Source organism: Homo sapiens, chromosome 14, assembly GCF_000001405.40.
Source record: "Homo sapiens chromosome 14, GRCh38.p14 Primary Assembly".
Lineage (NCBI taxonomy): Eukaryota > Metazoa > Chordata > Mammalia > Primates > Hominidae > Homo > Homo sapiens.
In genome coordinates, this window is record NC_000014.9 from 58890236 (window position 1) to 58918104 (window position 27869).

The 27869-nt window shown below is 39.0% G+C and overlaps 2 long non-coding RNA genes across 2 annotated transcripts in view; both read left to right on the forward strand.

The window, feature by feature from the left end:
* The window catches only part of LINC01500 (long intergenic non-protein coding RNA 1500), a 189041-nt gene that overhangs the window by 61948 nt on the left and 99224 nt on the right, over positions 1-27869 (forward strand). Inside the window, exons 2-3 of the long non-coding RNA NR_110547.1 lie at positions 3908-4096; positions 20028-20107. This is a non-coding gene — a long non-coding RNA (long intergenic non-protein coding RNA 1500). The remainder of the gene's footprint in view (positions 1-3907; positions 4097-20027; positions 20108-27869) is intronic.
* LOC124903325 (uncharacterized) lies at positions 23636-27821 on the forward strand. Its single transcript, XR_007064195.1, has 2 exons — positions 23636-26424; positions 27096-27821. It is a non-coding gene; the product is annotated as an uncharacterized LOC124903325 (long non-coding RNA).

Genomic DNA, 27869 nt, shown 5'->3' on the forward strand with positions numbered 1-27869 from the left:
AAAGACATTCTAATAAAAATTTGCTTCAGCAAGGCCTTAGGTCATATGGTATGAACATTTGCAGGATTTGTTTTGTTTTGTTTTGCAGCCTGAGTTCCATGCTATAATCAGAAATATGTGGCACATTTTGAACAAAGGAAATATATACCCAACAAAGTGTTAAAATGGAGCTGCCAACCAGACAAACCCTAGAAATATGTAGCCACTTACAGGCAGAACACAACTACATGTGTTCCCAATGTGGAAGGCATTCCGGAAGTGTATGCATCCACATTTCTACATGAGGTTAGTTTCACTGTCAATGTATCAAAAATGGGAGATGATAATGTGCAAATTATAACCCTTCAATACAGGAATGCATTGTCTTAATTTTTGTTGTAGACATTAAAAGTGAACAAAAACGGCTGGGCACGGTGGCTCATGCTTGTAATCCCAGCACTTTGGGAGGCTGAGGTGGGTGGATCACGAGGTCAGGAGATCGAGACCATCCTGGCTAACACAGTAAAACCCCATCTCTACTAAAAATACAAAAATTTAGCCGGGTATGGTGGTGGGCACCTGTAGTCCCAGCTACTTGGGAGGCTGAGGCAGGAGAATGGCGTGAACCCGGGAGGCAGAGCTTGCAGTGAGCCAAGATTGTGCCACTGCACTCCAGCCTGGGTGACAGAACGAGACTCTGTCTCAAAAAAAAAAAAAAAAAAAAGAAAGAAAGAAAAAGAACAAAAACTAAACTTCCGATAAAATCTTTGCATTTCAAAGGTATAGTTTTGACAACCATCCAGGGATTCTAAAGATGTTTTATTTTTTTCCAAATCTCCAGTGGCCACCCACCTTTTCTAAGATTCTATTCCTCCTAACAGCTTGGAATTGCTTTGGGGCCAATATATTTTATTCATTACTGATATCCTTCAAAACGCACCTTTACTTCACAAGTAGAAACTTATTGACAACCTAATAATTGGGTTGATAACTTGTTAGGTGGAAACCCAATTCCTGAGAAAGAGAAAGCAACACTGATTCTTCCTTTTCTCAAGCAAACACCACAACACAAAACTGAGCAAATCTACCAGTGGGCAAGAGCCTAGGATTGATAAAAATGGAGGTTCCCATCTTTATTTTTCTTCTCTCCCTCCTGTTTCTCCAGGGCAGCCTGCCTCCTCCCCTCACCCCCCAGCTTTAGTTGCTGGTGCCCAGATCATATCGTGGAATTGTACAGGTGTAAGTTAAAAATAAACTTAGAGCAAATGATTCTCTTTTGATTCCCTACCCAATCCACACTCTTCCCTGTCCCCTCTATGTCATTCCTGGCAGGTGGACATGAAGCTCCAGGTAAGAGGCAAGCATCCGTGTTCAAATTACCATTCCCAGTTTGAATGACTTTGTTTGCAGGATCTTACTTCTGCTTAACTAAATTTGTACCCCACCCTCTATGCACTTAAAATCCCTTTAAAATTTGTTGATCCTTAGTTACCTCCCTGGAGCTCCTTCTATTTATACACAATAACTGGTTTCCAAATATTGAAAATCAACTCTTGTAGCCCCTCTAGTTTTTGTTTACTTACTTGCTTCATTCCCCACGGGCTGAACACTCCAGTTCCCTGGACTTTTCTCATATGATATGTACTCGAGCTCTTTATGCCCAGATTTTTGGGGGGTGATTTACTATCTTAGCAGGCTATCAAATCTCTGGCTTTGCTCCCCAGCATAGGACTATGCACCTCCTCACACTGTCCGCCTGCAGCCATGCCTGATCTATGTCTCAGGTTGACTTTATATTTCAGTAGCCCTCTTAGGTTGCAACTTTTCTTCCTAAAAACTCATGCTGAGCTCCTCTGAGGACCCAGGTGTATGACTTGATGTCTCTGCCACTCTCCTCTTTTTGTGCATCAGTCTAGGCTGTCAGATTTAATTTTGGTTTTTATTTTTCATCTGGAAGCAATTGGTCAGTGTGCCTTTTATATCTTTATTCATTCCCATACAATTGCTGAACAAGACTGAGTTAAGCACAGAATTCAGTAAGAAGTATTGGCTAAGAGAGCAGTCTCAGGAGTTTGGCAGATTTGGGTTAACCTCTCAAAGTTCCCATTTCCTCATCTTTAAAATGCTGGCACTAGTTCTGCCCTCATGAAGTGGTTGTGTGGATTAAATTAGATAAATTGTCTAGCACACTATCTGGTCTACAATAAGGACTCATAAAATGTTAGCTGCGCTTAGTATTTCAGTATCATGAATGACCTTTTTATAAATGCTGATGTCCTGATAAACATCTTCTCTGGCCCCTGTTGTATTGAGAAGAGGTAAAGAGCAAGGTGTCCTGGGTCTCCAGGGATGCTAGAGAAATAAGTAGAGGTTGAGTGCAGGGAGTCTGAAGCTCCAGCATGGCTGCTCACTGAGTGACCCAGGCAAGGCATTTAATCTCCCAGGGTCTCAGAGTCCTCATTTGTAAAATGGGGATGATAGCCTTGACCCCTATAGGGCTGAAAAATTGGGTTACCTTTCCTCAGCCATCATAAGGGTCATGGCCAATACACCTATAACGAAAGGTAGGTTAACAAGAGAAAACCCATAACAAATTGATTTAATCAAAGTTTTGTGTGATATGGAGCTTCAGAAATGAAAACCCAAAGACCCAGGGAAAATTGTCCATTCCTATGCTTAGGTTCAGTAAAGTATGGACAGCTGTGTAGAAATGTGATAGGAAAAAAGAATATGATCTATTGATAATAGACTGAGAGGGAAATCCAGCAAGGCCTGTCTGTTTAGAGCCTTTCCGGCCTCTCTCTGCGGCATTCCTTTCCTCTGGGTGTGGGTCAGGACACCTGTCACATGAGAGTCTTCAAGGCAGAAGGGAGAAGATCACAGAGTGACCTCTCTAGGTTTTACTGGCTTGCTTTGGGAAGAGGAATTCTAGTGTCTAAGATCTACCTTGGGGGAGAGAAATTTTGGTTTCTATGAATTGCTTTGGGGACAGAAAAAGGGGCAGGAGACAGGAAGATGGGAGAAGGTCAGAGAGACCTTGCTTCTGAGGCCCCTCCAATGTCTTTCAGTTCCAAGTACTCAGCATGCCAAGGCTCCATACATTTAGGGTGTAATATTCTGAGCCCTGACACTTCATGGGGCACTGGGAAGATTTAATGAGGTAATATATGTAGAACAGCACCTGACACAATAGAAATAATAGTGTTTATTATGGTTGTTGTTGTAAAGGCCTCCATATGTTATGTTCACATTTCAGGATTCCTACTAACTGCTTGTTTTCTAGACAAATCTATTCTGGTGTGTTAAGGTATTATGCAAACTAGATCTTCAAACAGTCCACATTTTGGGAAAGATCTAGGGAGAGAAAATCAACCGAAGATAACTTTGAGTATCAATATGATACTCAAATATGTTATTGATGTCTGGGTGGTGATATGTCAATGACAGTGGCTATCAACTGTATTTTATCTATTAAATCTGAATCTAAATGAGAATGTAGGAGAAGGTGAGACTGTATATAGCTTTCGTTTTTAGAAAAAGTATACTTTCCTATATTTCCCAAATTTTCTGTAATGAGCACATATTCATGTTAAAATGAGTAAAAAAATTGTTTTAAAAATAAAAGAAATAATATAAATCTAGCTCTTTCCATCCTCCCTACCCCTTGCAACCCCACTAATGTATTGGAGTCCCTGCCATGTGCCTTGCTTGTTTCTTCTCTGCTTTAATGGGAAAATGTGTATTCAAAGTTACGTACAAATTCTATTAAGTTAAAAAGATTGGAATGTGACTCCCTTTTATGCCATTTAGAATTGTAGAATGCTTCATTGAGAACCCTGGTTATCAGTATGTAATCCTGATAAGAAATTTTGAAGTACTTAAACGGTTAGTTTCTAAATCAATATCACACTTTCATCTTCATTCGCAGGCATCGCCTATGCAGGCAATCAAAGGATGTTGATGGATAAGTGTTTCAGGCAGAATAATGGCCCTCAAAGATGTTGACACCAGAATCTTCAGAACCTTTGCATATGTTACCTAACATGACAAAAGGGACTTTGCTGATGTGATTAAGGTTAAGAACTTTGAGAAGGGAAGATTATCCTGGATTATACAGGTAGGCGCAATCTAATGACGTAAGTCCTTAAAAGCAATGAATATTTCTCAGCTACAGAGAATCAGAGAGGTGGCAGTGTGGACTCTACTGTCACTGACTTTGAAGACAGAGGAATGGAGTCATAAGCCAAGGAATGAAGGCAGCTTCTAGAAGTTGGAAAAGACAAGGAAATGGATTCTTCTCTAGATCTGACAGAAAGGAATGCAACCCTGATGACACTGGTTTTAGTCTAGTGAGACCTGTGTCCAATTTCTGACCTACAAAACTGTAAGATAATAAATGTGCCTTGCTAAGCTATGAGGTTTGTAGTAATTTATTGTACCAGCAATAGAAAACTAACACAATAAGTAAAAACTGCTAACACCTTAGAGTATGCTTATATTTCTCAATGAGATGAGGCTTAAGCAAGCAGTGTTAACAGTAACATCTAAAGCCCAGTTGTTCATTGTTAAGGATGTTAGAAAAGGAGAGACCCAGATCTGAAGTTTACTGACTGTTACAAGAGGAAAGCAGAAAAACAACCCTTATTGGTAGGATCCTGGGACAAGATAACCAAGAGGAACTGGTACAAACATGAACAAAGAGACCTGGGAAAGCTCAATCTTTGTCCTGAACTTTTACCAAGGGAAAATGACTTGACAGTGGTGAAGTAGAGATTTAATTTAAAGTCCTGAATAGAAGTGTTATTCCAGTTTGCTTTTCGATTCTCACATGTCCTTACGATGGGAACTATAGCTGTGTTATATCATAGGTTTATGTATATATACATGTGAAATAAAGCATTTTTAAAAGTAATACTAGCACAGTTGTTAACTTTATTATTAGAAAGATATAAATTTGATGTATTTTGCAGGCTAATGGTGCTAGTGATTTTTTTTCACGAAAAAAAATTTCATAATTGGATTGCATAGAAACTGTGAATTCATGGCATTGGGACCAGAAAAGAGGAAAGAAAAGTGTGAATAAAAAAGGAGTGGAGATAGAGTGGACAGTGGAGCCACAAAATATTCTATGAAATGTCCTTTAGCTGGAAAAAGATTATATTATATAAACTGCTGAAAACACAAGTGTCCAGGCTTTTGCTGTTGATGACATCTCTTCCAGGTGGAGAGCAAGTAGCTAGCTAAAGAATCAAGAATCACCCCCAAACCCAATGGAAGATGAACTTAACTGTGGTTTGAGAGCATGACTTAGAAATCTTTAGAAAGAGTTTTTAATCATTATAAAAATAATACACTTCCATAGCAATAAAAATTCATATAAGGCTGAAGGTATAAAAAGCCTTCCTGCTGCCCACTACCTACTCCCCATTGACCCTTCCAAGTTCAAGGAGAACTTCTTTTGTTTGTGTGTCTTTATCTTTTGGCAGCTAGCTGACCAATGTCACAAGCAGACATTTACCTTTATTATCTGCCTATTTTGGATTGAGGAATTTAGTTCACTAAGAGAAATCCTACCCCACCCTCAATTTTGTTTTTACTTGTCTTTTTATTTTCAGATATTCTATTGGTAACTTTAATAATTTCAGATGATATAGTTAAACATACATATCTTGATTTATTATATGTAGCCAACACTTTAAAGGAGATTACATGAGAAAATTAGTGTTCTTATAGTGTTGTCTGCCCTCAAACAGTCTCTACCTACTTTTTCCATTTTTTTATTTTGTTTTGCACAAGTACATTCTCACCTTTTAAAGATTATCTGCTTTTTAAAGAAAGATCAATGGGAAGGAATCTTGAATATTATGTCTGAAAGTCTGTATTTTACTTTTATAGTCAATTAGAATTTTTCTGCATACAGAACTCTAGATTCAAAATAATTCTCCTGAACTTTGGAAGCCTTCGTTCTTCTTTTTCTAAAATCCGTGGTTGCTGATAAGAAATAGCATGTCAACCTGATTCTCTCTTTTTTGTAAGTAAGTTGGGTTTTATTTGTCAAAATTTGGGAGATCTTCTCTTCAATCTTCATGTTTTAAAGTTTTTTATGTCCTTTTTCTTTCATTCTGTTCAGTACTATATAACCTTTTAGCCTGAAGACTGGTCTTTTGGAAAATCTTTCTTTTATTGTTTCTCAGATAATTCCCCCCTCCATTTTTATTGTCCTTCTCTTCAGGAACTCCTATTAGAACACAGTTGACTGCCCTGATGGGTTTCCTTCTTTCTTCCTTTAAAATTCTTTTTCTTGATTTCCATCGTTCTTTCATTTCAACTTTGTTCCTTCCCCATTCCCCTGAATTATTTCTGAATCCCTTAGAGTTAATTTTTCTGTTGGCTCCTCTTTTATTTTTCTCTTGTACTCTTAATTTTCCTCACATTTCTGATAATCCTTTCTTGTTTAGTCATATTTTTAAGTGAAGGATTAGGTTGGTTAGTATAGGGAGCTGATGTGCATGTCTTTCATCTTCATATAGATCTTTTTCACTAATAGATCGCCTCCTGAATGTGAAGACCAATTATAAGCTTTGTGTTTTGGATGCAATACGTATTCAATGACAGCCTTCACGTTAGACTGCACGATTAAGGAAGATCAGGCAGGTTGGGGCTCCCAGGGCCCAGGTGAGCAGGGTCCTACTCTGGAATACCATCCCCATAATAGATGCCTGAGCTCCATCCATGTTGACAGCCCAATTTACTTAGAGCTCTGTATTCTGACTTCAAATGGCAACAACTCTGCATGAGCAGGGCTGGGGCTTAGCCAACACCAGTTATCCCTTATTTACTCAGGTCTTTAGACAATTACCCCTGTCTTGGGTCTCCTTCCCTAGGTACTCTTCATAGCTGACTTAGAACTGGGAGCCCTTCAGAAATCCTCTCTGAAGATGGCACTCACATCCACTTCAGCCTTTTCTTCACCCTTGCTGATTTGTGCCTATCTCTGGATTATCCATCATTTGGTTTCCAATTGTCTTTTGTTTTCCAAAAATTTATCTAGATCTTTTCTTACTTCATGCCCATACTTCCTTTTATGGGCTGAATTGTGTCCCCTTAAATTCATATGTTGAAGCCCTAGCCCCCAGTACCTCAGAATGTGGCTGTGTTTAAAGAGAAGATCTTTAAAGAGGTAATTAAGGCTAAATGAGGTCATTAGGGTGTACCCTAAGCTCATATAACCAGTGTCCTATAAGAGGGTGAGATTAGGACATAGACGTGTTTAAAGCAAAGACTGTTTAAAGCAAAGACACAGGGGAGAAGATAGTTATCTATAAACCAAGGAGAGAGGCCTCAGAAGGAAACAACCCTACTGATACCTTGATCTTGAACTTCTAGGCTTTAGAATTATAAGCAAATAAATTTCTGTTATTTAAGCCACCCAGCCTGTGGTATAGTACTTCGTCATAGCAAACTAACATGCTTGCCATACTTGGGACTTTTTATATATGAATTTCTTATACTTTACAATAATTCAGTGTGATTTTGGGAGAGGAAGTTAGTACACATGTTCTGTCTTTGATCTTGAACTGGAAGCCCAGAGTAACTTTTGAGTTACTATCTCTGTCTTAGTCCATTCAGGCTGCTATAACAGAATACCATAGCCTGGGTGGCTTATAAACAACAGAAATTTCTCACAGTTCTTGAGGCTAGCAAGTCCAAAATCAAGGCACCAGTAAATTTGGTGTCAGTTCCTGGTGAAGGCCTGCTTCCCAGTTCACAGATGGCTATATTTTCACTGTCTTCTCACATGGCAGAAGGGCAAGAGAGCTCTCTGGAGTCTTTTTCATGAGGGTACTAATTCCATTCATGAGGGCTCTGCCCTCCTGACCTAATCACTTCCCACAGGCCCCACCTCCAAATACCATCACATTGGAAATTAGGTTTCAACACATGAATTTTAGGGAGCACCAATATGCAGTGCATAGCAATTCCTGTGAATGACTGAGTATAGGAAGGTAGATTAGAAGGCCTGGGCTTTGTTTCATTCTCATGGAAAAACACAACCGTGGGTCTCATTTCTTGAATCTTTCCTATGTGCCAGGCCCTGTGCTGTGCTAAAGTCTTTACAAATATCACCTCATTTAATCATCCAAACACCATAGAGGGAGGGTACTTGATGTGGTTTGGCTGTGCCCCCACCCAAATCTCACCTTGAATCGTAATAATCCCCATGTGTCAAGGGCACGACCAGGTGGAGATAATTGAATCATTGGGGCCATTTCCCCCATTCTGTTCTCATGGTAGTAAATAAGTCTCATGAGATCCGATGGTTTTATATATGGAAGTTACCCTGCACAAGCTCTTTTGCCTGCCACCATGTAAGACGTGACCTTGCTCCTCATTAGCCTTCCACCATAATTGTGAGGCCACCCCAGCCATGTGGAACTGTGAGCCAGTTAAACCTCTTTCCTTTATAAATTGCCCAGTCTTGGGTATGTCTTTATTGGCAGCATGAGAACAGACTAATACAGTACTCTTATTACCTCTACTTTGCATGTGAGATAACTGAGCCACAGAAAGGATGAGTAATGCTGACCAATCGGCTGGGTATTTGGATGATTCAGGAAATTCACCCCACATGCATTTTATCAGATTTTAGTAAAACTTTAAATTTTGAAATCTTTGTATTTCTTAACAGTCATTTAGAGGAAGAATTATTTAACTGATATTTGAGGCAGTCTGTCATTGACATCATCCCTACTGCTAAATTAATTGCTAACCTTCCACTGGCTTTAACATTTGGCTTCCTCACTGGGAGCACGAATTGGACAGATTTTCACAGTGCTGCTTTTGATTGACAGCACTGGCTTAATGGTGGGTATAAGTGGAAGGAACTAAGAAATTCTACCTTATCTTTTATTAACTTTAACAATGTCCCATGTGTGAGTATAGCACAATCCCTACTCGGCAGGGAGATGGAACGTACACAGATAACTCTGGAAAGAGAGAGATCCAGTTTGGTTTCTTTTCAGTCTGTTTTATGGTCCTAAAACTACTACAAAAAATAATTAAAGCTTTACTCTACTTTCACAGTTCCTGGACCTTCAGCTTCATTGACTTTTGTCTCTGTTTGTTTCTAATTTTTCGATCCATTGGACATATTCTATCTTCAGTAATAGTTTCACCTTTGAAATTTTAAGAGTCAATTGAAACTCTTCCACTGAATCTTTTCCCCCCCTTTCGACTCATGAAATCCTCTGGCCTTGTGAGGTATCACAGCTGTGACATATCACAACTCTATCTCAGTTGAGCAATTTTCCTGTGGCTTCTCTTCATTCCCATTGCAGTCTGATTCACTTGTGTCATTCTCATAATTTTCTCATATGCTCCCGTAGTTCTTTTCCACCCAAATTATTGTTCCATTCTATGCATCCACAACTTATGCAATCTTTATGATTTTCTTTTTGCATTTGTATACCCATGAATTTTGTTCCTTTAACAGCTATTTATTATCTACTCTGCACCAATCATCAGATGTAGTGGTGAAAAGATGGACAAAATTTCTACTCTCAGCTTACATTTTGGTGATGGGAGATGGACAATCAACCCAGGTCAATGACAGATGCTGGAGCAGAACACATAGACATACAGGTGGGGGCCACTGCTTATCTAGGGTTTCCAGTTTCACTGAGGCCCTCAGCGATACTCATCTATTTATATTGTCTTTGATCTGCATTTTCTCCTGTTCCTTTCAGCAAATACTCTTTACTACTCATGCCATTATCTTGTCCCATCATGTTTAATAATAGCAGATAATCTTTGCTTATACTTCTCTGGTAAAAAGAGGTTATCAGTCATGGACTCCATTAATTTCACAACTCCTCTCCCTCCAGAGGCAATCATTTATATCACCACTTTTCACTCCCTCTTTCTCCCTTCCTGGTCAAGGTGAACCTCTCCACCTAGCTAATTAATCTCATTTATTCTGGTCACAGGACTTTTCATTATCTTTTTTTTCTAATATATCCATTATTTTCAATCCTCCCCATTAGCTTCTTCCTGCTAGCCTAGAAACATAATTTCTCGTGTTCATCCTTTAGTAATAATGGCTATCATTTATAGAACATTGCTCCATGCCACATACCTAGCTCTCATCTAATTTCACCCTCACAACAACCCAGCAAGGCAAGTATTACTATCTCTATTTAACTGAATTGGAAACAGACACAGAAGGAATAGCTACCTTTCCCAAGTTCACATGGCTTTTTAAGTGGTAGAACTGAGGTTCAAATTGAAGTTTGTTTGACCCTAAGCCTGAATTCTTACTACACCTGAATCCTCTGCATTTTGAAAGAACAGCTCTTTCTAGTTGCTGTCTGAGATCTCTCCTTTTCTTTCAGAGGCAAGTTTCTTAAAATTGTGTCTCCATTCCCAACCCTCTTTAATCAGGTTTTGCCCCACGATTCTGTGGTGCTTAGGTCACCATTGGCCTCCCAATTCCTAAATCCAAGGGACACTTTAAGTCTCAATCTTATGTGAACTCTATGTACCACATGGATTTGCTGTCCCTCAGAATTCTTGCCTTCCCTTTGGCTTCCATAATATTGTTCTATGCTGGTTCTCTTATGTGATAACCATGGCCTCTAAGTCTCCTGTCTCTCATCATTCTTTAAGTATTAACAGTCTCTGAGGTTCTTTTCTCAGTGTTCTCTCCCTTCCTCTTTCTTCATTTTTCTCTTTTTGATTTGATATTCAGAAGTCTTCCTGAATAATCTTCATTCCCATTTTTCACTCTTAAACTATATCTTTAGCTCTGACACCAATTAAAATAAAGACTGAAAAATATTCACTAAAATGAGCACTCTAGAGGTCTTTGTTGACCTCAGCTACTTCTCTATTGGTGCAGTGGTGGGACAGAGCCATGAAGGGCAGGCTGAGGAGTGGGAAGGAAGTGAGGAAAAGGAAACAGTAAGGGTAAACAACTATTGACAAACATGGCTATGAAAGGAGGCTAAAGCGTGTGATCCTTAGGCAGAAGGGCCACCTCCTTCATCAGAAGGAAGGACGATTATGCAGATGCAGGTATATTTGCTGAGAAGGAGGGAGATCCTGCCTATGAGGCAAGGTAGGAGAGTAGGTAAGTGGGGGATATTGCTGCCTTTGGAAAACACATTCTGCCACATGGTGTTGGGGAACAAAAAGCACACCAACCCTAGGTGATTGGTGTATGAGAGAATAAAGCACCTCCATTTGAGATAATTAGGTGGGAGTAGGTATCCTCAGGAAGAGCCAGCTTTTAGTTAATGCAGGGAAATGGAGGAAACCCTTTAATGCAAGGGGAAGTTGAGGTTGAAGGGAGCAATCTGATAGTAGAGTGGTGACTTGAGAGCTTAAGTGAGTGATATGGTTTGGCTCTGTGTCCCCACCTAAATCTCATCTTGAATTATAGTCCCAATAATCCCCATGTGTTGAGGGAGAGACCTGGTAGGAGGTGATTGGATCATACGGGTGGTGTCCCCCATGCTGTTCTCATGATAGTGAGTGAGTTCTCACAAGATCTTATGGTTTTATAAGTATCTGACAGTTCCTTTTTCACACACTTTCTCTATCACCTGCCACCACATAAGATGTGCCTGCTTCCCCTTCTGCCTTGATTATAAGTTTCCTGAGGCCTCCCCAGCCATGAGGAACTGTGAGTTGATTAAACCTCTTTGCTTTATAAATTACCCAGTCTTGGGTATGTCTTTATAGCAGTGTGTGAACAAACTAACACAGTAAATTGGTGCCAGGAGTTGGGCACTGCTATAAAGATACACAAAAATGTGGAAGTGATTTTGCAACTGGTTAACAGGCAGAGGTTGGAACAGTTTGGAAGGCTCATAAGAAGACAGGAAGATGTGGGAAAGTTTGCAACTTCCTAGAGACTTGTTGAATGGCTTTAACCAAAATGCTTATAATGATGTGGACAATGAAGCCCAGGCTGAGGGGGTCTCAGATGGAGATGAGGAACTTCTTGAAAATTAGAGCAAAGGTCCCTCTTACTATGCTTTAGCAAAGAGACTGGCAGCATTTGGCACCTGTCCTAGAGATATGTGGAACTTTGAAATTGAGAGAGATGATCTGAAATTGGAACTTATGTTTAAAAGGGAAGCAGAGGCTGGGCACGGTGGCTCATACCTGTAATCCCAGCACTTTGGGAGGCCAAGGCAGGCAGATCACGAAGTCAGGAGATCGAGACCATCCTGACCAACATGGTGAAACCCTGTCTCTACTAAAATACAAAAAAAAAAGTAGCCGGGCATGGTGGTATGTGGCTGTAGTCCCAGCTACTTGGGAGGTTGAGGCAGGGGAATCGCTTGAACCTGGGAGGCAGATGTTGCAGTGAGCAGAGATCACACCACTGCACTCCAGCCTGGATACAGAGTGAGACTCTGTCTCAAAAAAAAAAAAAAAAAAAGAAAGAAAGAAAAAACAAAAATGGAAGCAGAGCGTAAATGTTTAGAAAATTCGCAGCCTGACGATGAGATAGAAAAAAAACCATTTTCTGGAAAGATATTCAAGCTGGCTGCAGAAATTTGCACAAGTAACGAGGAGCCAAATGTTAATTACCAAGACAATGGGGAAAATTTCTCCAGGTCATGTCAGAGATCTTGGTAGCAGCCCCTCCCATCACAGACCCTAAGGCCTAGGCAGAAAAAAATCGTTTCCTGGGCTGAGCCCTGGGCCCTGGGCCCAGGGCCCAGCTGCTGTGTGCAGCCTCAGGACTTGGTGCCCTATGTCCCAGCCGTTCCAGCTCCAGCCATGGCTAATAGAGGCCAAGCTACAGCTCAGACCACCACTTCAGAGGGTACAGCTCAGACCACTACTTTAGAGAGTGCAAGCCCCAAGCCTTGGCAGCTTCTACATGATGTTGGGCCTGTGGGTGCACAGAAGTCAAGAATTGTGGTTTGGGAACCTCCACCTAGATTTCAGAGGAGGTATGGAAAGGCCTGAATGTCCAGGTAGAAGTCTGCTGCAGGGGTGGAGTCCTCATAGAGAACCTCTGCTAAGGCAGTGTGAAAAGGAAATGTGGGGTTGGAGCCCCCACACAGAGTTCCCACTGGGGTACTGCCTAGTGGAACTGTGAGAAGAGGGTCACTGTCCTCCAGACCCCAGAATGGTAGATCCACTGATAGCTTGCACTGTACACCTAGAATAGCCACAGGCACCCAGCCTGTGAAGGAGCTGCTTAAGGCCATAGGAACCCATCCCTTGCATCAGTGTGCCCTGGATGTGAGACATGGAGTCAAAGGAGATCATTTTAGAGGTTTAATGACTGCCCTGCTGGATTTTGGACTTGCATGGGGCCTGTAGACCCTTTGTTTTTGCCAATTTCTCCCATTTGGAATAGGTGTATTTACCCAATGCCTATACCCCCATTGTATCTTGGAAAGAACTAACTCGTTTTTTATTTTACAGGCTCATAGGCGGAAGAGACTTGCCTTGTCTCAGATGACACTTTAGACTATGGATTTCTGAGCTAATGCTGAAATGAATTAAGACTTTGGGGGACTGTTAGGAAGGCATGATTGGTTTTGAAATGTGAGAAGACATGAGATTTGGGAGGGGTCATTGGTGGAATGATATGGTTTGGCTCTGTCCCCACCCAAATCTCATCTTGAATTGTAATCCCTGTAATCCCCATGCGTCAAGGGAGAGACCTGGTGGAAGGTGATTGGATCATAACGGCGGTGTCCCTCATGCTGTTCTCATGATAGTGAGTGAGTTCTCATGAGATCTTTATGGTTTTATAAGTGTCTGACAGTTCCTTCTTCACACACATTCTCTCTCTCTCACCTGCTGCCATGTAAGACATGCCTGCTTCCTTTTCCACCATGATTATAAGATTCCTGAGGCCCCCCAGCCATGTGGAACTGTGAGTCAAACCTCTTCTCTTTATAAATTACCTAGTCTCAGGTATATCTTTATAGGAGTGTGAAAACAGACTAATACAGGGAGGAAAAGGTTAAGTTATTGAGCTGGTACAAGGAAGAAAAGAGTATTAGGGTGACAGTAATGCTTACAGAATAGATTAAAGGAGCAGGAGGTGGACACTTTGGGATTTGAGAACAGGGATGAAAGGTATGTCTGCATCTAGTCCTGATAGTCTCCTGTTGGAAGGTGGGCACTGAACCCAAAGAGTAGGTATCCTGGCTCCGTGAACTCAGGGTAACTTCAACCTGGCCTCAGAGGTTTAAGGGCACATGGCTTGGAGAATAAAGGAGCCTGCAAGACTAGGTGTCTTGGAACATCAGTCTGGTCTTTCTGTGCTCTGGTGAGTGAAGCCTCCCCCAGTGGAGGGAAGCTTTTGAGGCGAGGACCATGCATTACTTACTTTTTTATCTAGCATCTAGAGTGTTAAGTGTATCCAGTCACTTAAAAATAGTTGAATAATTTAAAGAATTAATGACAACACATCTATTCAAGCCCCAGTTTGCTAAAGCCAAAACTTCCACTGATAGCATGCTACCTTTCAATTCTTTGTTCCTGGGACCTATAACCAGAGAGCTAAAGGGACATTTCCTCTTAGGTGATGTGTAAACAGCACAAAGTGTTGAAAAAAACCTGACAGTTTCTCAGGGAGTTTTATCAAAATAAACATTCAAATCAGATATTTCAGGCCAAATTACATGACTCAATGTAATTACTAGAAATCTACTCCATTCCATGCTGCCTAAGGCATATGGCTTGTCTTCAAAATGTAAAAAGCCACAAACCTTTAGGATGAATGCTGTACTGCAGAATTTGTGACAATGTGCTTGATTAGCAGCTGCTACCAATTAGGCAGATATCTGTGAAAACGATAACTCTCTTAGGGCCAACTCATGCACAAAAGACATACTTAACAATGTAAGGCCATAGGAGCAGATTGGCATGGTCTAAAAATATACTTGTGAGATTTTGTTTAGGAGAAAAAAAAATGTTGCCTTGGTATCTGTTGCAACTCCCATCCCATTGCCTACAGTACACATAGAATCTTTTAATAAATATATTTAACTCTTTATATACCTGTCAAAATTCAATTGCTGCAACATAATATTTTCTCATGAATTCAAATTTTGGGCATATCCTGCTATAAGGAAACACAAATTTCTCAATTCTGAGAATATAAAGCCCCCAAATAAAGGAGTGATTATTCACATTACCAAAAGGATATGCTTTTACAAAAGACACACAAAGATAGTTTTCCTTAAATAGTGAGTTCTTGCTGGATATTTAAAATACAACTTGAATCTCAACAAATGTTTAAAAATTGAAATTATGTCAACTATCTTCTCAGACCAACAATGGAATAAAGCTATAACTTAACACCAAGAAGAACTTTGAAAACTGTACAAATACATGGAAATTAAACAATATGCTCCTGAAAAACCACTGGGTCAATGAAGAAATTAAGACAGAAAATTTAAAATTTTGGAAACAAACAAACAAAAAAGGAAACACAGCATACTACAACCTGTTTGATATAGCAACACCAGTGCTAAGAGGGAAATTTATAGCATTAAGTGCCTACATCAAAAAAGTAGAAAGATGACAAATTAAATTCCAATGATATAATTCAAGGAACTAGAAAAGCAAGAACATAGCAAACCTCAAACTAGACGAAGAAAAAAATGACAAAGATCAGAGCAGACCTAAGTGAAACAGAGAGAAAAAAAACCCAAAACAAAAACAAGGAATCAACAAAACAAAAAGTTGGTTTTTTGAAAAGATAAAATAAAATGGATAAACTGCTAACTAGACTAAGCAAGAAGAGAGATAAGCCAAATTAACAAAATTAGAAATGAAAAAGGAGATATTACAACTGATATTACAGAAATACAAAATATCATCAGAGACCATTAAAACAACTATACACCCACAAACTAGAAAACCTAGAGGAAATGGATAAATTCCTGTAAATATACAACCTCCCAAATTGAACCAGGAAGAAATAGAAAACTTGAACAGACCAATAATGAGTAACAAGATTGAATCAGTAATTAAAAATTTTCCAACAAAGGAAAGCCTAGGACCAGATGGATTCACAGCTGAATTCTACTAAGCATATAAGGAAATAGTAACACTAATTCTCCTGAAACTGTCCCAAAACATTGAAGAGAGAAAATTCTCCCAAACTCATTCTATGAGGACTGTATCACCCTGATACCAAGCCAGACAAAGATGCACAAAAAAAGAAAACCACAGACCAATATCCCTGAAGAATATGGGCCAAATAGACTCAATAAAATACTACCAAACCAAACCCAAGAGTACATCAAAAAGATAATACACCTTGATCAAGTGGGTTTTTACCAGGGATTGCAAGGATGGTTCAACATATACAAATCAATAAACATGATACATCACATCAACAGAATTAAGGATAAAACCATATAATCATCTCAGTAGACACAGAAAAAGCATGTGGTATAATTCAGCACCCCTTCATGATAAAAACTCAACAAATGAGGCATAGAAGGAGCATACCTCAAATTAATAAAGGCCATATACAACAAACCCACAGCCAACATCATACTAATGAGGAAAAGTTGGAAGCATTTCCTTTAACTGGAACAAGACAAGAATGCCTACTTTCACCACTTCTATTCAATATAATATTGGAAGTCCTAGCCAGAGCAGTCAGGCAAGAGAAAGAAATAAAAGGCATTCAAATTGGAGAAGAAATCAAATTATCCCTGTTTGCCGATGACATAATCCTATATCTGGAAAAAAAAACCTAGAGACTCCACCAAAAAATCATCATACAAAAATCAGTAACATTCCTATGTACCAATAAAAATCTAGCTGAGCATGAAATAAAGAAGGCAATCCTATTTATAATAGCTACAAAAATGGCTAGGAATAAATATAACCACGGAGGAGAAATATCTGTACAAGAAAAACTACAAATCACTGATGAAAGAAATTGTAGATGACACAAACAAATAGAAAGACATTCTATACTCATAGATCAGAAGAATTAATATTGTTAAAATAACCACATTGCAAAAAGCATCTATATATTCAGTGCATTGCTTATCAAAATATCAATGTCATTTTTCACAGAATTAGAAAAAATATCCTCAAATTCATATAAAACCAGAAAAGAGCCCAAATAGCCAAAGCAATCCTAAGCCAAAAGAACAATGCTGGCATCACATTATCTGACTTCAAATTATATTACAAGGGTATAGTAACCAAAATAGTGTGGTACTGGTAAAAAAAAATAGACACATAGATCAATGGAACAGAATAAGGAATCCAGAAATAAAGCCACATATTTACAACCAACTGGAAGCTGACAAGAACATACAATGGGGAAAGGACACCCTCTTCACTAAATGGTGCTGGGAAAATTGGATTGCCATATGCAGAAGAATGAAACTGGACCCCTATATCTCACCGTATACAAAAAATAAGATGAATTAAAGACTTAAAAATAAGACTGCAAACTGTAAAAATACTAGAAGAATACCTAAGGAATAATCTTCTAAACACTGGTCTAAACAATGTATTTATGACTAAGACCTCAAAAGCAAAGGCAACAGAAACAAAAATAGACAAACAGGACTTAATTAAAAAGCTTCTGCCAGCAAAAGAAATAATCAAGAGAATGAACAGACGACCTGCAGAATGGGAGAAAATATTTGCAAACTATTCATCTCACAGGGGACTAATATCCAGAATAGACAAGGAATTCAAACCACTCAACAAAAAAACCTCAATAATCTCATTAAAAAGTGGGCAAAGGAATGAATAGACATTTCTCAACAGAAGACATACAAATGGCCAAGAGGTATATGAAAAAAATTCTCAACATCACTAATCATCAGAGAAATGCAAATTGAAACCACAAGGGATATCATCTTACCTGAGACAGAATAGCTATTATTAAAAAGACAGAAAATAACAGGCATTGGTGTGAATGAGGAGAATAGGGAATGCTTATACACTGTTGCTGGAATGTAAATAAGTAAAACCTCTGTGGAAAACAGTATGGAGATTTCTCAAAGAACTAAAAATAGAGCTACCATTAAACCGAGCAGTTCCACTACTGAGTATCTACAGCCAAAGGAAAAATCAATTTATCAAAAAGATACCTGTACTTGAATGTTTATTGCAGCACTAGCAAAGATACAGACTCAACCTAAGTGCCATCAATGGTTGAATGGATACAGAAAATATGATATATTTTCACAATGGAATAACTATTCAGACACAAAAAAGAATGAAATTATGTCTTTTGCAGCAACATGGATGGAACTGAAGGTCATTATCTTAAGTGAAACAAGCCAGACACAGACAGTCAAATATTGCATGATCTTACTCATAAACGGGCACTTAAAAATGTATGTGAATGGATGTAGAGAGTGGAATGATAGATACTGGAGACTTGGAAGGGTGAGGGGATGGAGGAGGGTGGATGATGAGAAATTACCTAACGGGTATCATGTACTTTACTAGGGTGATGGATACCTTAAAGCCCTGATTTGACTACTAGTCAATGTAACAAAATTGCACTTGTATTTCAGAAATTTATACAAACAAAAAAATAGGCTGGCTCACACCTGTAATCCCAGCACTTTGGGAGGCAGAGGTGGGCAGATCGCTTGAGCCCAGGAATTCAAGACCAGCCTGGGCAACAAAGTGAGACCCCATCTCTACAAAAAATACAAAAATTAGCCTAGCGTAGTGGCCTGCACCTGTAATCCCAGCTATTCAGGAGGCTGAGGTGGGATAATGACTTGAGCCTGCGAGGCAGAGGTTGCAGTGAGCCGAGATTGCTCCATTGCACTGCAGCCTGGGTGACAGAGTCAGACCCTGCCTCAAAATAATAAAAATAATAACTTGATTTATAGAATTTAAATAAGTATAACCATAAAATTCTTCAGGAGACACATTAGTATGAAGTGAAATATACATGCATATTTCAGTAACAGCCATATTATTTTGTTGACAAGCCTACACTAGTTAAATTTATTGAATTCACTTAGATTTTTTTCGTGCTTTTTCAGGACCCAAAATAGTTTTGGTTTGTTTAAAATCTTCCAGCTTTGAGATTGATAACTCTTAGAAATCCCTCTATTCAACTGCAGTAGCATCTGATCTTCTAAATGTAGTTCCATGCTGGAGGATGCAATTTAGCCCAGATAAATCCAGTTTGCCAACCTTAACAACTAGATTTGCTCATCTTATTCAATAACTGCTCAGTTATTTTTGACAACACACTCAGCTTTTCTGAATTCAAATTTTTTCTTTTAAAGAAGGAGTAATAACTATTTGCCAGTTACTTGCCTCACAGGGGTGTCAAGCACCTGTGAGATCACAAGTTCTCATGGGCCATTACAGCTAGTAATCAGCAGCTTTGTTCTTTAGGTTTTTGGAGTGAGAAACTGAGACCCAGACAATTTGGGGGAAGAGTTTCATGGCCTTTGGAGGTGTTGACACAGAAGACAGTCTTTAAGATGCCTAAGAAATGGAGGAATGGTCATAACATTGTCAAAGAACATGTCATAATAATCTTTTAAAAGCTCCTGTAAAGTAGCATAACCATATTGGTGTTTCATTTGTGATATTGAGCAACAGTACTTCTTGCTCCAGGATAATATTATATGACCTTTTGGACTGAAAGGGTAAGGTGACATTTGGTTTTTGATAAATATTATGATTTCTGAGTCTGCCTCAATATTCTCCAATGTTTTAGTTCCCTTCCATTGCAGAATTCAAATGCACCTTTAAAAAGTGGCTGAATCTGATTTACTATAAGTCTACAATATGTCCTTGTGTGTAGCTGAATTGCCCTCTGTGAGATGGAAGACCAGTAGCTTAACAACAGTTCCTTTTAATATTTTATTACTTCCCTTAACAAGGCCTTGTAGCCAAGAACCTACATTTTACTTTTAGTTTAAAGGTCTCAGAAAACTTTGGAAAAGTCAGGAATCAAAATATAGAAGATAAAACCCATCAAACAGCAACAAATCATAATGCTATTCTAAGACCTACTTCCAACAAAAGGCTCTTTGTTCTTTACCTAGGTCGACGTTTATTTCTTTCTGAACTTTCCTGGAGGATCATCGGCCATACTCCAGCAGAAGGGTGGATTTGAAAAAATAACGTAAGTTTGACGCTGTGCTCCTTACCTTGGTGAGAAGGGCGGGAGGGTCAAGAGAATGTCTTCCTAGTCAGCCGGTGATTGGTCCCACCTGGCTTATTTGCTTCCTGGTCTTTCCTACTGTCAGAATCCAGGCAGCTGCTGGTGACTGTGATGAGGAGGTGGGCAAGCAAATGGGTTAAGTCTTCCTTCGGCCAAGTAAATGCATACACAGGCCCCCAAAGAATGTTCCCTCAGTTTTTTGCCTGAGGTTCTAGTGACATAATCCAACCAGTACAGATAGACCCTCTCTTGCTGACTTCCCTGTATGTGTTGTCCACAGGTTTTGTCTATGAGACTTTGCTCACAGACTCTCTAGATGTCTCAGGTGCTCCACTTGGCATCAGTCAGCATCCCCCTTTATCCTTTCCCACATTTCTTGTTTGCCTCCTCAGCTTAGGCCCTTGGCCTTGTGGTCAATTCTCTTCTTCTGAATTTTCTTGATCCTCATCTGTGGAGCTTCTGGCAGGGGTGGTCATTCTCTCCTGAGGCATGACAATGCTAAAAGAAAGCTCAAGGACTAAGGTTGTGATGGAACAGGAAAGAGTAGACTCTTTCAGGGAAAAACAGATTGCTTGCAAATAAAGGATAGTTCTTTTTTAGCTTATATTCTTACCTTATTATGCCAAAAGAGGGTCTGGCTCTGCTCAGACTCGAGATTCATAACAAAACTTCCCATTCAATTACTTTATGATTGGGTTGCCCAGTATTTAGGAAAAGAAGGAGAGGCGAGAAAACTTTAATTAACCCCCATAACAATATTTTTTATTTATTTTGTTGAGATGGGATCTCACTCTGGAGAGGGAGATTACTCCAGAGGCTGAAGTGCAGTGGTGCAATCTTGGTTCATTGCAACCTCTACCTCCTGGGCTCAAGTGATCTTGCCTCCTCAGGTTTGCACCACCACACTCGGTTAATTTTTTGTATTTTTGGTAGAGATGGGTTTCACCATGTTGCCCGGGCTGGTCTTGAACTCCTGAGCTCAAGTGATCTGCCCACCTCAGCCTCCCAAAGTGCTGGGATTAGAGGCATGAGCCACCACGTCTGGCCTAACCTCATAACGATAACTTATTTTGTACAGCACTTTACAAATTACTAAGTTCCACCCTAAATACAATAGATCTGAAATTGCTTTCATGTGTTTCACTGCATATTGCACTCTGAAAAAACTTGTGACATAGGCAGGAGAGCTTATGAATCTTCTCTGTACAAGCTCAGGTGGTTGTTTCCCCAACGTTGCATAGTTAGAAAATGGCAAAGCTGGAGTTGGAACTCATACCTTTTAACTCTGTCCAGTGTTCTTTCCAATTTTTGAGTAATTATAACCTAGATATTTATTAGTCATAAGCTTCCCTTGTTCGGGGAGGCTGGTATGGAAGTCTTAGGGACCAGAAATCAGATGCACTTTTTTTTCTCCCTTCAACTCTCCCTGCTTCTTCAAATTTCTTTTTCCAGATATCAAGTTGGTATGCTTATTAGTTTCCATCATTTTTTTCCTTCTTTCCACTTTGTGTTTAGGCCTTCACTTTCTCTTACCAGGCCTATCATCATGCATCCAAACTGGTGCCCAATAGTGCCTTAAGCATGATTTTTCCCCAAAGTAACTTCAATTATAAAAGTCCCTGACTTTAAATTCTTCGATGGCTCTCTTTCACCTAGAGCAGTATCTCCAGGCCCCTGAAGTAACATTCTTATGAGAATAATGAGGTGATGCTCAAGTTGTCTAGGTGTTTCCTTGAATTTTGTGTTTCAAATATCAATTTTTAAAAATCTACAAAAATAATATGTGTATTCTGGATCATTTAATTGACTGTCTTATCACTATCATTCAATTTCACTGTGTTATAGATCTTTATGATCCTGTTGGTGCCAAATTATACATCTTTAAATGTCATAAGTTAATGAAAAATGTACACAAGTGGACATAATTTGTAATGATGAGTTTGACCCACGTGAAGGTCAAATGCTGTGACAGCAAACTTTTTAAAGAACGGTTTTCAAACTACCTATTAGTAGCCTAATAGAGACAAGTCTGAGGAGAATTTAGTTACTACATGTCACATCACAGCCCGGGCATGCCTAATTAAATTACAAACACGAGCAACAACCACAAAACCAGAGCCTTTGCATTTTGTAATACAGTCAGGTGCTGCATAATGATGTTTCAGTCAACAATGGACTGCACATATGACAGTGGCTTCATAAAATTATAATGGAGTTGAAAAATTCCTGTCACTTAGTGACGTCGTATACCTTCCATGGGACAAGATGTGCAGGTAGGAGACAGTGATATTGATGATCCAGACCCTATGTAGACCTAGGCTAATGTGTGTGCTTATGTCTTAGTTTTTCACAAAAAAATTAAATAGTAAAAATAACAAATTAAAAAACAACAATGCTTATAGAGTAATGATCTATAGAAAGAAAATCTTTTCATACAGCTGTACAGCGTATTTGTGTTTTAAGCTGTGTTATTACAAGTTGAAAAGTTAAAAAAATAAAAAGTTCCTTATTGAAGAAGGAAAAAAGTCTTTAAATAAATTTAGTGTAGCCTAAGTGTACAGTGTTTATAAAGACTACAGTAGTACAATAACATCCTAGGACTTCACATTCACTCACCATTCACTGACTCACCCAGAGCAACTTTCAGTCCTGCAAGCTCCATTTGCGGTGAGTGCCCTATACAGGTGTACCATTGTTTATCTTTTATACTGTATTTTTACAGTACCTTTTTCTATGTTTAGATATGTTTAGACACAAAAAGACTTACCACTGTGTTATAATTGCCTGTAGTATTCAGTACAGTAACATGTTGTACAGGTTTGTAGCTTAGGAGCAACAGGCTATCCTGTAGAGCCTAGGTGTGTAGGAAGCTACACCATCTAGGTTTGTGTAAGTACTCTCTATGATGTTTGCACAATGACTAAATAGCCTAACAAAACAGTTCTGAGAGCATATCCCTGTCGTAAAGTGATGCATGGCTTTATTTTTCTCTTGGTGAGTGGTGTTTTCATTTCACCAAAACATTTAACACAATAAACAAATATTAATTTGAACTTTATTGGTTTTATACATTTCTTATAAAATTCTTAGACTCATATAACATTGTTTAGATCCACACAAAATCTATAAGCCAGAAGAGTTTAGCCTCGTTTTGAATTTCGCATGTAAGTTCTCCTATTTTTCAAAAGTTTATTGTCCCTCCTTACTGGGTCTTTCTTTTGTGGAAAAATTATACTTCCCACCCTGCTGACTTTAGCTTTTTGGCTGTGCCGCTTGATTTGCCAAATAAAAGTGAGTGGGAGTGATATGTGTTATTTTCAAGTGGAAGCTTTCATAGCCAATGAGTGTTCTGCCCTCTCCCTTTTTCCTTCCTGTCATAAGCCTGGTAATATCCCAGAAAGGGATTTCTCCATCAGCCTAGATCCCAGAATGAAGATTAGGTAGAATCAAAGAGCCAAGAGCCTCAGCCAACGATGAAGGGTACGTAATATGACTGGGAAATGCCTAAATATGCAAATGTAAAATATGTGGGTATATGTAAATGTACCATAGGTGTATATATGTACATATGTGTGTGCGTATATGTGCACATATGTCCCTGTATACATTTGTATGTATCTATAGGTACCTATATTTCATGATTTAACACTAGGGGTCAGGGATAGTTGTTTTCCTTTAGCAGGGGCTTTGTAAATCACTTAAGAAACACTGGCCTACAGAAAACATCTATATTGTTTAGCTTCATACGTGTTTTTGAGATCTGCTGTAGCCTATCTCTCCAATGTCATCTTCTTTACCCTATTTTTCTATCATTCTCCCTGATCTTAATTGTATTCTGTTCATGGAAGCATTTCTACCTTTGTTCATTCTTTTTCTTATCAGAGGAACTTGGGAAAATAAAAATAGTCTGATGAATTTTGTGATGATAACTAAGGTGAGGCGAGCCTGCTTAAGTTCCAGAGGATGGCAGAGCTGGTTTCCGCTGCCGTCTGCACGAATGAGGGTTGCTAACAAGTGGTAACCATGGAGTGTGTGAGTTTCTCCACCTTCCCTAGCCCGAACTGGCCTCACACAGAGCTGCCAGCAAGTAATGAAGTCCCCAGACAAGTGCACCAGCTTCTGAACAATGAAGAGTTTGACCGTATTAAATTAACAAGCCCCTTATAAAATGTCTTTGGGTGAACTCTGTCTTTGAGTTCCCATAAACTGCACAAACAGGAGGTTCTGAGTTGTTGCATCGGAAGCCTGCCGCTCTGTTTCCAAATCATCCTTTTCTTAGATAGCTCAGGGACTGTGGTTAGGCAAATTAATCCTAGGAGAAGTTAAGCAATTGTGATCTTAGAGAAGAGATTCTGTGCCCTCAAGGCCCTGGCAACCACACACATCAAAATCTCGCATTTAATTTATATCAAGCATGGAATTAATAAGAGTCGGTGGTAATAAAGTGTCAGGGCAAGAAATGTAAAATATATATCATAAAATATTTATGTAATAAAAAATAATCCCCTTCACTAATATAACCCACATCTTTTCTCTTGATAGCACCTAGTAATGAAAGCATTTAAATCCCTGTAAGGGATTACTATACTCTATATGATACATGTAAAGATCCAAACATAGTCCACTTATCAAAAGCACAATATCCTGAAGTAAATGATAGAGAGGGCAAAATGTGCAGCTGGATACTTCTCAATTTCTAATGACAAATTCAGCATATATTCAATAAATTGTCTTTTCCAGAACATTTCTGAAATTTTTAAATGAATGCAGTGGGCAGAAAATTGAAATGTAATTGAGTGACATCTTCTAATCATATATGCAGGGTGGAAATGGGAAATATAAATGGGAAATATAAACAGGAAAGTCAGCTCCATGATTTCTTTTTTATCACTCATGTTAAATGGCTCTCTGTATTGTTTTAGCCACCAAACAAAGCCATCAAGGTTTTCTATGAAGGTAAGCTGGTTTTATCTTGGAAGGATGAGTTATAAATGATAGTATTGTATATGCAATTGTGAGTTTCCTATCTTTCTGCTGGCATATTATTTCATTTCAATTAAAAAAAATCTCCTCTAGAGAAGCTGTAATAAAATCAACACTGAATAAAAGGAATGTGATTAGAGAATGCAGGGTTTTAAACCATTTAATTTCGAGAGTTTGGAGACCCTCACTTCGTGTGTGTGTGTTTTGCAGTCTCCCATCATGACCTGGACTAAAGGGGGCTGCTAACAGTATTTGGCATTCCCGAGTGAGCACCTTTGGTGACACCTTCAAATGCTCAGTATATCTGTATGAAAAACACTCTTGCTTTATTTGCATGATTTTTTCCGTTGTAAGTTGTCTTAATAGAGTTTTCTGTGATAGGAATATGGAAATAGACATGTTATGATTCAAAAGCTGTCATCTTTTGTGGTCTAAGTTTTTGTTGACTGCATTTTCTTTCAGGAAATTACACTTAAGCCATCTTTCATAATTCCCTTGGAGTCTGTGCTGCTTGACCACATTATAACAAGATGCTTTTGATCCTTTGATAATTAAATGCTCTACTGAATGGTGAGAGAGACGGATCTGCCTTGTATTAAATTCTCCTCTAAGGAGAAAGGAGGTTAATGACACCTCCAGATAGTAATAGGTAGTATTACTATAAGATAATGAGCAAATTGCCACAGGCTGGGCCTGGTATCTTTATACCATGAATATAAAATAGCATTTTATCTTTTTACCATGAATGAGTAAAGCACATCATGGTTCAAATTTTGCTTTCAGAAGGAATGCAGGCATCTGTAATTCTGTGAGCCAACTGTATTAAGTGGTTAATTTGTAGCTATTAGCTCCATTTGCCATATAGATTTCACTGTAAAAATAGTATTCTATGAAAGCCTAAATTCAAGCCTATAGACATCTACCTGATTGCTGGGACCAGAACTGGCACACCTTCTCAAAAGCTGCAGCCTCTTAGAGGTCCTTGGGAGGAGGACAGTGTGATGGTCAGTTTCATGTATAAACTTGGCAGGTTGTAGTCTCCAGTTATTTAGTCAAACACTAATCTAGGTGCTGCTGTGAATTTGTAAATGTGGTTAACATCTAAACTCAGTTGACTTTAAGTAAAGAAGATTACCCTCAATAATAGCGGTGGGGCCGCATCCAGTCAGTTGAAAGCTTTAAGAGCAAAAACTGGTTTCCCAGAGAAGAAATTCTGCCTCAAGACTGTAACTTCAAGTCCTGCCTGAGTTTTCGGCCTGCCCTACAAATTTGGACTTGTCAGCTCCCACAATCATGTGAGCCAATTCTTTAAAAAAAAAAATGTGTGTGTGTGTGTGTGTGTGTGTATATATACACACATATATATTTAAAATAAAACATTTATATATCTATATATTTAAAATAAAACACACACGTTTTAAGTATATCTGTGTGTGTGTGTGTGTGTGTGTCTGTGTGTGTGTCCTATTGGTTGTATTTCTCTGGAGAACCCTGACTGATACATATGGTAAAAGAAAGATAAAGGCAGGTGACTTGCAAATCCCAGAAGAGCTTATTGGGCCCTTGATGCAAGCAGCTACCATGGACATGGACTTAGCTAAACCCAGCAGCCAGGAGTAAATTTTGATGAGAATTTTTACAGGAAAGTACCCTCCTCACTGCAGCATGTTTAACAAGCCCCTTCCAATTCAAACCATCTCTTTGCACATTTTGTCCATCCCATTATAAACAGCGAGCAATATGTTAAAAATGGAAGCAACATGCTCTCAAATACAATCTTTGTTATCAGTTTGAAGATGCTAGTGTCTAGTGTTCTAATCCATGACAGACATGAACCAGTGGCCATACAATATGGAAAAAGATCATTAAATGTTAAGTGCTTCCAAATTCTTGACATCAGAGGTGCTTCTTAAAATCACAGTGTTCTCTTCAATAGCTAACTTTTTTATCTCTTATCTCTGCACAGCTGAATGTCTTGAGAAACTTGCCTACAACTCATGGCCTTCATTTCCATGGTTGCTGCCCACTTTGTTACCCAGTGCGATATGGTCTTAGTCCTACAGACACTGTTTTTGTTAACCTAACCAATAACCTTCCTGTTGTTAAATCTGAAGTGTACTTAGTCTTTCTTTTACTTAATGTAGTAGTTTGATCAATTCACAAATATTGGCCCCACGCTTATGCTACAAATCTCTTCCTTTGTCTTCTGCAACCAGTTCTCTCTGTTTGCATCCTGTTCATCTGCTGGCATTCCTTCAGGCTCCTTACGCCGACATAGTCTGTCCTGTATTGAACAGTGTCCTCCAAGAGGAATGTTGAAGTCCTCAGCCCTGGTAGCTGTGATGTGATCTCACATGGGAATTGGGTCTTAGTAGATGTAATCGAATTAAGATGAGGTTATTAGGGTGGATCCTAATCTGACCGGTGGTCTTACAAGAAAAGGAAAGCACCATGTAAAGATTCACACAGAGACAAGATAGCCATGTGACAACGGAGAGAGAAGTTGGAGTGATGCATCTTCAAATCCAGGAACGCTAAGGATTGATGGCAAATACCAGAAGCTAGAAGAGGAAGAGGCAAGGAAGGATTCTCCTCTACAGATTTTAGAGAGAACATGGCCCTGACAACTGCTCGATTTCAGACTTCTAGCCTCCAGAACTACGAGATAATAAATTTTTGTTTTATTAAGCCACCTAGTTTGTGGTACTTTGTCACAGCAGCCCTAGGAAATTAAGAACAG